At 44.4% G+C, this 13,104-nt stretch overlaps 3 annotated features.

Annotated features, from left to right (window-relative positions):
* Positions 1,640–1,719: an enhancer, noted in NCBI's record as "active region_22805". NCBI's record gives its function as "activates an Ori minimal core promoter by ATAC-STARR-seq in GM12878 lymphoblastoid cells {active_cell/tissue: GM12878}" and the evidence as "EXISTENCE:reporter gene assay evidence [ECO:0000049][PMID:35858748]".
* Positions 2,140–2,229: an enhancer, noted in NCBI's record as "active region_22804". NCBI's record gives its function as "activates an Ori minimal core promoter by ATAC-STARR-seq in GM12878 lymphoblastoid cells {active_cell/tissue: GM12878}" and the evidence as "EXISTENCE:reporter gene assay evidence [ECO:0000049][PMID:35858748]".
* Positions 2,480–2,529: an enhancer, noted in NCBI's record as "active region_22803". NCBI's record gives its function as "activates an Ori minimal core promoter by ATAC-STARR-seq in GM12878 lymphoblastoid cells {active_cell/tissue: GM12878}" and the evidence as "EXISTENCE:reporter gene assay evidence [ECO:0000049][PMID:35858748]".

Here is a 13,104-nt window from a genome sequence, read left to right as displayed (position 1 = left end):
TGACTGACCCAGGGGTCCTATGTACCACTTCTGCTCACATCCCATTAGCCAGAACTTAATGCCATAGCCCCACCAGCTGCGGGGTAGGCTAGGCAGAGGGGCCCCTGCCTGGGAAGCCTCTTACCTAACTAAAACTCACTAAAACTCGAGGAGATCTATATCAAAAGAAGGGGAGAATGGCTATAGAAAGAAAGTTAGCAAACTGCAGCTTTCTCTTTTTTATTGTTTTTCCTCTGAGCCCCAATTTTCTTTCTCTGTTTTACATTTGAAAGCCTTCCTCAAATGTCTGGAGATCTGACTATCTGTAAATATTTAAAGAATGAGGCACTAAAAAAACTGACTGGAAGACTTGTGTGCATAGATTAGGCTTGCCAACGGATAGCTTCACCATCGAGAGCGTCTTTGTTCAAATGTCACCTTCTCAGCAAGGGATCCCCCATCCCCCTATCTAACACTCTCCCTTTCACTTTCACTTAGCATTCCCTATCCCTCTTTTTCAATTTATTTATTTTTTTCTATAGCATTTATCTTTTTTTTGAGATGGGGTCTTACTCTGTCATCCAGGCTGGAGTGCAGTGGCACAATCTCAGCTCACTGCAACCTCTGCCTCCTGGGCTCAAGCAATCCTCCCACGTTCAAGCGATTCTCCCACCTCAGCCTCCTGAGTAGCTGGGACCACAGATGCACACCTCCATGGAGGCTCACCTAATTTTTTGTATTTTTGGTAGAGACAGGGTTTCATCTTGTTGCCCAGGCTGATCAACACTCCTGAGCTCAAGTGATCCACCTGCTTTGGCCTCCCAAAGTGCTGAGATTAGAGGCGTGAGCCACCACACCCAGTCTATCTTTTAATATATGGTATGATTTATTTAGTTTACTGTCTCTTCACTATTAGAATATAAGTGCCTTGAGGTCAGGGATTGGTGTCTATTTACCGCTGTATCTGCAGCATCAAGACTGCTTGGCAGATAGTAGGCTCTTTCTTGAGTGAACAAATTAAAGAATAAATGAACAGGTACAGATCTGGTTGCCTCACTGGGAGATCCCCCAATTATTGGTTCCTGGACACCTTTTCTTTTGAGCCATTCAGTCTCTCCAGCTTCACAGCTGGGGGTTGGGCCTCATCCTCAGGGTTCTGGCTGCCAAGCAGGGAAAAGGGACTTGGCAGCTTCCTGGCCAGTGTGTAGACTCTCATGTAACCTCCTGTTTTCTGCCCTGCTCCTTGCTGAGTAATTCCGTGTGATCTGCAAGGATAGAAAGAATGATCTTTCAAAGAACATGGAGAGAGATTGGCAATAGGGGCTGGCAGAAAAAAACAGCAAAAATTAACCACCAAAAAATTCACAGCCAAAGCTCTACTCTTTCTGTTTACTGAAGAAAGCAAGTGATCCAATCTCCTGCGAATGTTGTTGATTTTAATAACCACCTTCTCTGCTTCCTCCAACCTGGCCCTTTGGGCTAGACTCCAGACAGCCATTTCTTCCAATTCAAGGCTGTCCAAAGATGCCCCTTAAGGAGAAAGAACTGGTAAATTCTTAAACTGATGGTAAATTCCTAAACTGGTGGTAAATGGATCTATGTGGCCCAGACCACACTATTTATATCCCCAGTGAGTATTATTAGGTCGTTATCTTGACATTTGGTTGCCAGAGAAAGCCATGCTCCCTAATTTACTACACCATAATAATTGTTCACAGGTCGTGGGAAATATTGTAAAGAACTGGGATCCTGAGATATTTTACTTAGAGTTCCTTTCTTATATTAATAGGGGTCTTCTTACCAAATACACCGAATGTTTGAAGGGGAAGAATTTAATCCTGCTCATTAGGGGAAGAGAATTCTGGCCTGGTCCCTTTAAGCACAAGGGATATTTAAAAATGGGTCTATATTTATGCACAAGTTTATACTTCCTGTCTCCAGGCGACTTTTCTGGTGAGCTGTGCAGAGCTGAAGGTAGGAGAGAGAGGGGAACTAGGAGAGCCAATGACGGCACAGAACATCGTGCAAGCTGGGGCTCTGGGGTTTTTTACGGACTCTTCCAGCGCACTCAACTCCTCCCTCCTAGTTGGCGGGGCTCAAGCCTCTGGGGACCTGCAGCTGAGCTTTCTCAGAAGCAAGAAGAGATGCCTCCTTCCTATTCTCTTGTGTGCCTTGTGAAACTTAAAACATTTCATATGTAAAATTACAAGCTGTTTATGGGGTGGAGATTTTGCGCTTCCTCCCATTATTAAGTCATCCTTGAGAACTGAGTGTGGATGATCTTTAACACAGTCTGCCCAGGGTTCTAGCCAGATGTGTTAAATGGGGACCAAAGGACCCACTCTGGGAATGGAGGACCAGCAACTCCTGGGAAGACAGAATTAAAGAGCACGGCTGGAACCTGTGGCCACGGGGGCTGTCCCCCGACATCTAGAATGCGACCCTTGTGTAGAGCTGACTCTGGGTGCCTTCATCCAGCCCCCTGCATAGAAGATCTCCTTTAGCCTCATCAAATCAGTCACTGTGTGATTAAAAAGTTCAGGGGGTGGCAGGGACAGCTGCCCCCAGAAAGGGAACAGTGTGGGCATCTCCAGACAGGTAAACCACAGGAAAACCAAGGAGCCCTAGTTCTCCTCTCCATCCAGGAAGCCTTTAGCTGGCAGCACAAGGGAGGGGCGGCCACACCTTAGGTTATTTTTGAGTCCGTTTCCCCACCCCTGTGTGAAGGTGTGGCCCAGTGGCAGATAGACTGTCCTTAATCTAACCAGAGGAATCCTCCTCCTCCAAGTGAGAAAAGGAGCAAAGGATGCAAAGCGCCCCTTCAACACTCCTTGAGCTGGAAGGAGAAGAAAAATCTCTCCTCCTTTACAGGAATTTGGTAAGTGAGGGATAAGTGATCCCCACTAAGGAGCATGAGCTTTAGTACAAGGACTTTTTCTCCTCTGATTGAGCCGCTGTGTACTGTAGAACTCTGGTGAGGAGCGGTCCTCAGGCCTATTGAAAGGATCAGAGAATACACATATCCTGTTTTCCATTGTGTATGCATAAAGAGGTACGAGTCTACAAAGCTTCAACTGCATCTATTTTTTCCTTTTTTTTTTGAGATGGAGTCTTGCTCTGCCATCCAGGCTCGAGTGCAATGGCACCATCTCAGCTTACTGCAACCTCCGCCTCTCTGGTTCAAGCAATTCTCCTGCCTCAGCCTCCCAAGCAGCTGGGACTACCGGTGTGTGCCATGGCACCCAAGTAATTTTTTGTATTTTTAATAGAGACAGGGTTTCACCATATTGGTCAGGCTGGTCCCGAACTCCAGACCTCAAGTGATCTGCCTGTCTCAGCCTTCCCAAGTGTTGGAATTACAGGCATGAGCCACCATGCCTGGCCCTTTTCCAATATTTCGATAAAGGTGAACAGCTGATTTACCCAGTTAGAAGTTTTTCCTGGTTTATTTTCTGTGTGGCGGCAGCAGCAAGGAATAAAATATAAACTCAGTTCAAGGATAACTGCCATGTACATATAATTATCTATTCAAAATATTTAATTTACTTTTTTAAAAACAGTATTCCAGCATTCATAGTAGCTTTTGACCAATTCTGCTTTTTCAGTTGATGGCAAAAACACACCAGAATATGTGGAGAGGCTGTGGTCGGCCCCATCTTTTACTATGGCAAAAAAAAAAGGGGTCTACAAGCTTGGAAATGTTGAAAATTACTGCCCTGAACCAAAGAGGTGGCTGACACTGGTAGTTCTGAAGTTTCCTACTTACAGAGAATCTAGCAAATCACTGCCATGTGAGGATAATACCAAATAATGGTCTACTCCTGCCGAGGTCAGTGTATAAGGAATCCTTAGCAGCGTTTCCCAGGCACTTAAAGAGGCTATATACAGCACTTTGGGAGGCCAAGGCAGGTGGATCGCTTGAGGTTGCCTGAGGTCAGGAATTCAAGACCAGCCTGGCTAACATGGCGAAAACCCATCTCTACTAAAAGTACAAAAATTAGCCGGCATGGTGGCGCATGCCTGTAATCCCAGCTACTCCAGCTCAGAGTCTCCAGAGTAGCTGTCTCAGAACACTGGGTCCATGGCACATCAGCAAATGTTACATGAAAAAATGGGCTCCATGAGTTTGGAAACGCTGGGCTATACGATGCTGGCCTGCAGGACTTGTGCTCATTTTTAGAGTCTATGCCTTTTATCTGATAAACTTTAAAAACAGATACTCTTAGCCTCATTAAACCCCAAAAGCATTTAAAATATTTACCTCTTTCCCTTTGCTGAGATATAGGAAAGGGTAACAGAGGATGGATGGAAAACAGCATCCCTGAGAGGCACCTCCAGCTTAGAGGGATGAAGAGGGCATCAGTCATGTGGAGTCATGCAGCAGATGAGCTCAATCAGGGCTCCTAATCCAGTCTTACACTTGAGACACTCTGGAAGTACTGTGGAATTAGTATCTGCAACATGTTAGAAGTAGATATTTCGGCTGGGCATGGTGGCTCACGCCTGTAATCCCAGCACTCTGGGAGGCCGAGACGGGCAGATCACTTCAGGTCAGGAGTTCTAGACTATGCTGATTGACATGGTGAGACCCTGTTTCTACTAAAAGTACAAAAATTAGGCCAGGCGCCGTGGCTCACGCCTGTTAATCGCAGCACTTTGGGAGGCCGATGCGGGTGGATCACCTAAGGTCAGGAGTTCAAAACCAGCCTGGCCAACATGGCGAAACCCCATCTCTACTAAAAATACAAAAATTAGCTCGGTGTGGTGGTGGGCACCTGTAATTCCAGCTACTTGGGAGGCAGAGGCAGGAGAATCACTTGAACCCGGGAGGTGTAGGTTGCAGTAGTGAGCCAAGATCGTGACACTGCACTCCAGCCTGGATGACAGAGCGAGACTCCGTCTCCAAAAAAAAAAAAAAAAAAAGCCAAAAGCCGGGCATGGTGTTGTGTGCCTGTAGTCCCAGCTCCTCGGGAGGCTGAGGCAGGAGAATCGCTTGAACCTGGGAGGTGGAGGTTGCAGTGAGCAGAGAGCAGAGATCACGCCACTGCACTGCAGCCTGGCGGGCAAAGTAAGACTTCATCTCAGACAAAAAAAAAAAAAAAAGAAAGAAAGAAGTACATGTTTCATTTGTCCAGGACACTAGTAGCAGAGTGAGGGGGTAGCACTGGAAAGACCCCAAGCTTGGTAAATTTACTTAGCAGACATTCACACAGGCTTGTGAAGACTGCTGGGCTGGAAGCTTGACCTTGGAACTTGCCAGAGCCTTTAATATGTTACATGCATTGTGAATTTCCAAAGTAGTGACTAAGTACCCATTATATCTCAAAGATTTTACCTATCCTTTTTTCAAGAAGCACCTCTCTCAATTCATTTTAAGGGTCACAAGCACTGGAAATGCTAATATTTTGTGCTTTGACTTCTCTCCCCTTTGCCGCTCTCACTTGCTTTTCCACAGTTAACACCATTTCATGCAAGGAATGCTCTTATGGCCTGAATGTTTGTGCCCCTCCTAAATTCATATGTTGAAATCCTAACCCCTAAGGTGATGGTATTAGGAAGTGGGACCTTGTGGGAGGTGATTAGGTCATAATGGTGGAGCCCTCATGAATGGGATTAGTGCCCTTTTAAAGAGGACCCAGAGGGCTAGTTTGTCCTTTCTACCATGTGAGGACACAGTGAGAAGGCACCATCTACAAGCCAGTAAATGTGTTCTCTTCAGACACTGAAGCAGCCAGGAACTTGGTCTTGGACTTCCCAGCCTTCGGAACTATGGGAAATATATTTCTGTTGTTTATAAGCTACCCAGTCTATGGTATTTTGTTATAGCAGCTCCAACAGCCTAAGACAGATGCTGAATGGGTGCATCATGTCAATGTCTGGCATTTCTTCTGTCAGCATTCTGTAACTTATTTACGGTTTCAGCTAATAACTTGGCGTAAGTCCCAAGTTTCTCAATAATGACACAAAGTCCATCAGAGTCTTCATCTCCTGGTTCAATTCAAGCATCATTATAGACCAAAGTCTGTGCTAAGAGCTGTTAGAGCTGATTTATCAATACAGTCCCAAGCAACGACAACTGTATAAATGGCATCGTTAAGATTGAACTCTCCTGGAAAATCATAAATTCTAGGACCTGCTAACTGCAGCAAGCAGTTAGCAAAAGCAAACACAAAAAGGTGCACTTGCTCTTCATGGATTGTAGAATTCCGTGTCACAAGGCTGTATTGTGGGTGTCACGGTGGGTAATAAATTCAGAAGAAGATCACGAGAGGGTGTGAGAAGCATTTGCCCAGAAACAAAATTTTTCCATTTTTATCCAGTTTTGCTGGCCTTGCTTTGAACACATCACTGGTCTACAGTGGTTACAGAACCAGTCAGAACGCATTTTTCTAGCTACCTATACTTTTCTTCCTCCCTTCCTTCTCTCATGCCCTCTCTTCCTCCTTTCTTTCTTTCCTCTCTTCTCTCTTTCTTCCTTTTTCTACAACTTTACTGAAGTATATTTTCTTCAATGAGGGAATGTTTAAGCTGCTCAGCTCCTAACAGGAACTGGCCCTAGAATCTAAAATTCCTGCTCCTTTCATGGTTTAGAAGCCACGTGGACTGAATTCAAATCCCAGTTAGGTGATTTCCCAACTGTGTGACTGTAGGTAAGCAAATCTCTGTAGTCTGGCTTTTTATTATAAGAATTAAGGATAATGAAAATTAAATTAACTAATTAAATTAAAATTAAAGATGATTAACAGAGAAACCTCACTCTCTGGCTTCCCTGCGGCTGAATGGGCCATGCAACCAGCTCTCCATTCTCCCCAAACACTTCTTACCAAGCATGCTGTTTTTTCCTATTATCTGTTTTGGGTTAAGTCAAATATTAACCACAAGGTTGGTGTGTTAACAAGTCACAACATTTGAAGAATCCTAATCAGGTCAGACTTTGGAATAGTTTCCTCAGAGGTGGGAAGGAAAGTGGGGAGGGAGGATGACCTTAATAACTCCTTGACCTTGGAGAGTCAGCCTTGCAAGTCACCTAAAAGAATGTGTCTCCCGGCAACATGCCCAGCCTCCCTCACATTGCCCAAAGACAGCAATGCAACAGCATCCTCAAAGGAGGACATTGACTTCCGTGTTTGCTGGATTATTGTACATTTTTCTTAGAATGCTTGTGGAGGCTGTTTGCTAGTCAGTAGGGTATGTGAGCTTTGGAGTCAGGTCCTAGTTCTTCCCAGCTCTGCCACTTATTAACCATGTGACCTTAGGCTATTACTCACTGTACTCATTTTAGAATACAGACATGCAAAGCCCCTGGTCACTGGATTGCTGGGACAATAAAATGATAGAGATAATAAGAGTGGTTATACTTGCAGAGTGCTAACTCTGTGCAAGGCACTGGTTTCAGCACTGAATGCGTATGACCTCGTTTACTCCTCCCAGTGACACTATGGGGTTAATAGTCCATTAGCTGCATGTTATAATGAGCAGATAAAGTCCAGAGAGAGGTCACTTTACCTGTCAGAGGTCGCACAGTAAGGGGTGGAGCTGGGATGTGAATTTGCCTGTGCAGTCTGGCTTCATCACATGCTCAACCAGCCCACCAGACCACTTTCCTGTGCCATATCAGCTCTTCTGAAGGAAGTCATGTACGCAGAATGTCTGCCCCTCAGTAAGAGCACAATAAATGGTGATATTGAAATAATAACTAATACTTCCATTTCCTCAGGCCTCACCAGCTTATGGACTTCATGCAAACACCTCTTGCCTGCTCCCAAACCAGGCCCCAATGTCTCCTGAAGTTATTTCTGGGATGCCTCCCATGGACCTCCTGTCCTTTCACACTTGCCCCTCCCTGAGGTCCTGCCTGTGAAGTCCCTTGAGGTGGTGCCTCACCCTTCCACTGATGTTGGTGTCCCCTAGGCCTCTCCCCTGAGCCCTCTGGCCAAGTTCCCTGGGCCCCAAGCACAAATGGGTATCTGGGCCCAAACAGTCAATACCATCCACTTGGAGACCAGTGACTTTGTGTTCCCCGCTGTGTTCTGTTACATTCAACAGACATTTCCTAAGCAACTATTATATTTTGGAGAGAGTGTTAGAAGACACACAAAAAGTAAGAGCGAATGGTAGCCCATCTTCTTTGGATGTCTGAGCAAATGACATTTGTGAACAACAACAAAAAAGTAAGTTACAAACAACAAATATGTTTACAAGGACACCCTCTAGCAGTGTAGGGCCACCCAATGCCTACTAAGGTGCTATACAAGATCAGTCTTTCTTACCACATTCATTAAAAGTCATGAGGGCCAGGCTGGGAGCTGTGGCTCACACCTGTAATCCTAGCACTTTGGGAGGCCAAGGCAGGTGGATCACTTGAGGCCAGGAGTTCAAGACCAGCCCGGCCAACATGGTGAAACCCTGTCTCTACTAAAAATACAAAAATTAACCGGGTGTGATGGCAGGTGCCTGTAACCCCAGCTACTCGGGAGGCTGAGGCAAGAGAAACCCTTGAACCTGGGAGGCAGAAGCTGAAGTGAACAGAGATCACCTGGGCAATGGAGTGAGACTCTATCTCAAAACAAACAAACACAAATTGTGAGGGTTATAAAAGAGAAGGTTTTGTTATTGTTGTTGGTGGTGGTGGTGGTGATGTGCAGCTTAGCAAAATGCCCAGGCATACTTAATAGCGCCTATTAGCTTTTGTACATAATCTTTATATCTGAGTTCTTGCTAAGGAATTTTCTTAACTTTTGCTTTCCGTCTAGTCAAAGAAAGCATTTTAACCTCGCCTGGGCACTGCAGCATTGCAATCAGGGTTCTACCAGGTGGCTTCTCAGGGATTTTGGTATGTAGTTACTTTAAACTAGAATGGCTTCATTGCCTCAAAGGCCATCCACTCCTCAGAGGAAGTCACTAAATTTAGAAAACCAACCCTAGTCCTCTTCCAACCAATGGGACAGAAGCCCCAAAAACAATGGTGTGTTCAGTGACTCAGGCTTGACAATGGGGAGAGAATTAGACAAGAGATTTTGAGGAAAATGAAAATTGCCTATATAAATTTTAATTTTATGGAAACTGAAGCTGAGGATGTTGCATTTTTCCTCAGCCTTAAATTTATGAAAAGTAAAGGCAAAAGCAAGATACTTCCACTTGGGAGGAGGAAGGAAAAAGCACTCTCGAGTTCCAGGCCAGCCTGCCTGAGGACAGTGGTTACTCAGTAACTCTCTTTAGAACTTGCTTAGCCAAATTTGGTGTTGCAAGGCTCTTAGGCTTAAAAAGATTATTATTTATGATCGTGCTCCAGTATTTCTTCTCATTCTTACAAGGCAGCTGAATATTTTTTAAAAATCAGAAATTAACAAAAAGGTAGAAAACTCAGGTAAAAATATATATTCTGAGATGGTAGAAAATTCTATCATTGTAAACAAAAAATATTGAGGGACTCAAATTTCATGTTTAAAATGCTTTAAAATTCATATAAGACTGTTTCTAAGTTTTTTCAGAATTTAATTTTACATTAACTCTGATACAGCTCTGATGACTGGAGGAACACCAGGGTTCTTGGTCTCGAGCCAATAGGATTAATGACATGAACACACGTGGAGTGGTTTTAAGGAGCAAAAAGTTTAATAGGCAAGAAACAAGGAAGGAAGAAGAAAGTGGCTCTCCAGTACAGACACAGAGGGAGGGCGGATTCGAACAAAGAGAAAACCCCGTGTGCACAGAAAATTGGCTGCTTATATTGCGATGCTGGAGGAGGTGGTGTCTGGTTTGCATAGGGCCCAGGGGATTGGTTTGACCAGATGTGTCATTTACCTAGCCCGCAAAAAGCCTGGCCCTCCCACCTTAGCCCTTTAGTATGCAAATGCGGGCCGCCATGATGTTCTGAACCCATGGTGTTATCTGGAGGTGGCCATGACATTTGGTACACCTGGTGACAAGGAAAAGATGGCAGGAATCGCCATATTAAGTGAGCCCAGTTTTTACGGGCCTGCATTGGCATATCAAAGCTTGCTGGCCTGGCCCTTCAAGCCACATTTTCTGTTAGGAAAGAGATGGTTCAGGGGTTGTTTCTTATTACAGGAAAAATTCCACCGAGAACCTTACTATCTGCCTAAAAATTATTTCTTAATAACTCCTGTATCAACTCTATGAGAATTCATAGCCCTGGGTCATTGATTGGTCCAAAGGGTCAAGGACCCAGCGCTCAGTATAAGCCCAGAGAAACCCTGAGCAGGAGAGATTATAAGGTCAACAAAATGTGAAGGGAGGGCACAGGGCTGAATGTGTGATCCTGAGAAGGTCTAGGTCAGCCCCCAGCTCCCACCCACCCTCTCACAAAGAGAGATCATTTTGGGAGGTGGTAGCCGCTAGGCTGCCCTGGGCCTCAGGGAAAAGTGTGGTCTTTTGGTCAAATGTTTGTGAAACAGAATTAGAAAAATGGGGGTCGAGTGACGGAACTGGAAAAACTATCAAGGAGAAAGAAGGAGCCTGGGGTCTAGAGGTCAAAAGTCACGCTGGTGGTGGAAGGGCAAGGGAAGCCCCTGTAAGCCCCTGTGGGCTGGGGCAGTGAATGGAGGATAAGGAACGGCCCTCGAGGAGCTGGGTGCTGCTCTAGAGCTGAGAACTGAAATGAATTGTCTTATGGGTTCTCAAGGCATGATCTGTGGACCAGCAGCATAAGCATCGCCTGGGAACTTCTTATAAATGCAAATTCTCAGGTCCCATCCCAGATGGACAAAATCAGAACTCTGCAACTGAGGCCCAGCATTCTGTTTCTGGGTTTTTTAATTGTATTTTAATTTAATTTTTTTTTTATTTATTTTTTGAGATGGAGTTTCACTCTTCTTGCCCAGGCTGGAGTGCAATGGCGCGATCTCAGCTCACTGCAACCTCCGCCTCCTGGGTTTAAGCGATTCTCCTGCCTCAGCCTCCCGAGTAGCTGGGATTACAGGCATGCGCCACCACACCTGGCTAATTTTGTATTTTTTGTAGAGATGGGGTTTCTCCACGTTGGTCAGACTGGTCTTGAACTCCTGACCTCAGGTGATCCGCCCACCTCGGCCTCCCAAAGTGCTGGGATTACAGGCTTGAGCCACCGTGCCCGGCCTTAATTTTATTTTTTAGGAGACAAGGTATCGCTGTGTTGCTCAGGCTGTACTCTAACTCCCAGGCTCAAGCAATCCTTCACCTCAGCCTCCAAAGTGACTGGGCCTACAGGCACACTCCACCACACCCAGCCCGTTTTAATTAGCCCCTCAGGGGATTCTGATGACTGCTACAGTTTGAGAACAACTTGTTTATTAACAAAATGCTGTGTTTCAGCTATTAAGACACCACAAAGCAATTCATTAAACCAACTGTTTACTGGACTGACTGAGCTGCTGTAACAAATCATTACAAACACAGTGACTTAAAACAATACAGACTTATTCTCTTTACATCTTTGGAGGTCAGAAGTCCAAAATCAGAATGACTGGACTAAAATCCAGGTCTCAGCAAGGTTGGTTCCTTCTGGAGGCGCTCAGGGGAGACTTCATCCCCTTGGCATTTCCAGCTTCTAGAACCCATCTTTATTCCTTGGCTCAGGGCCTCTGAGGGCAAAGGGCAGCCACTTCAAATCTCTTGCCATTACACTGCCTTCGCCTCTAATGCTCATTCTACTGCCAGCCTCCTATAAAGGCCCTCATGATTATAATGAACCCTCTCAGAACAATCTCTGTATCTCAAGATCCTTAACTTAGTCAAATCAGCAAAATCCCTTTTGCCATGAAAGGCAACCTATTCACAGGTTCTGGGGATTAGGAATATGGACATTTTTGGGGAGGCCATTATTCTGTTTCCTATAGGGAGGAAGATGAGAAATATGCACTTTCATTTGCTTGTATTCACATAAATAAACAGTTTTCATGCACAAGACACTAATAAATCCGAATACCTGTGAAGGATGCGGGGCATGAGGGGAAGGAATGGGAGCACTTTCTTCTCAAAGATGACTTTTTATATTATTTTGAGCTTTGAGCCAGGCAAATATATTACCTTTTACACAATGTTAACCATCAAAAAATAAAGAGAATGAGACCCCTTTTAGTAATTTCTGACTGTTGAACCATTGAGTTTGAATATGACATGTCAGAGATCAAACCACTGGGACCTTTGGAGTCCTAGAGGTTACAAGTATTGAAAGCAAAAGCATTTTAGTGGTGATGTAGGTAGTAAGGGAAGAAACAGAATCTTGCTTGGGCATGAACAAAACAGGACAGGCACTAAGTCAAAGATGAGGGACTGGGCTTGACCTTCAAGGCAAGTTAATGTTTTGGCCTTTGTTCATATGTTTTAGAGTTAAAAAGTTCTTCAGATCTTCCAAGTGCCCAACAAAGGAAAAGAGGTTGAGATCCCCATTCCTTTCTCCTTAATTAAAAAATAATAATATACTGTGTCCACTAAATGAAACTGCCTTTGCAAAAATTATAGTAGTAAGGGAAATTTAATATAACTGACTCCATCTTGCTTCTAACAGTCTAAAGTACTTTTGCTCATTCTTGTGTGGAAATCGTTAACAGTCCTTTCCCTCCTTGAACCAATCTCTTCCTTGTTCAAAAATTGAAACCATACAAGGTCACAAGGTTAGAATTATGGTAGGGGCCTGAACTTTGCTAAAGAATAGGCATGGGTGAACACTAACCATCCATTGTTTGCTTAACTTGCTTTTCTGTAAGTTGCTTACTGCCCCAGGGTTACGCAACTGAAGGCTGCAAAATTTGTAATTTCCCCATCTATTCCTATGGATAATATCACTATTTTGAAACCTAAAGAACTGGTTTTTCAGGTGTTTTTCAGATTTAGCATTTTGGCAGACCAAGAGATACCACCTGGTCCTGAGACCCCCTTCTCAATGCATTAGTTTTTTGGGAGGCAGCAGGCAGGAAGAACTTGTCGGGCTGTGACATAAATTGCATGCTATTTTCTTAAATAATTATAAATAAGAGAGCTCTTTGCTCTGAACACGTGAGAGAATGCCAGACACTTTTATGATAATGCTGATCATTAGTTTACTGTTGAACATTAAGCTACAACAGTAGAGGACAACTGAGATTTTGAGACACAGCCTGCCTCATGACATGGAAAATTAAGTGC

The sequence above is a fragment of the Homo sapiens genome, chromosome 5 (assembly GCF_000001405.40).
Source record: "Homo sapiens chromosome 5, GRCh38.p14 Primary Assembly".
Lineage (NCBI taxonomy): Eukaryota > Metazoa > Chordata > Mammalia > Primates > Hominidae > Homo > Homo sapiens.
The sequence above is the reverse complement of the archived record's forward strand: the minus strand, read 5'-3'. Positions and strand labels throughout refer to the sequence as shown.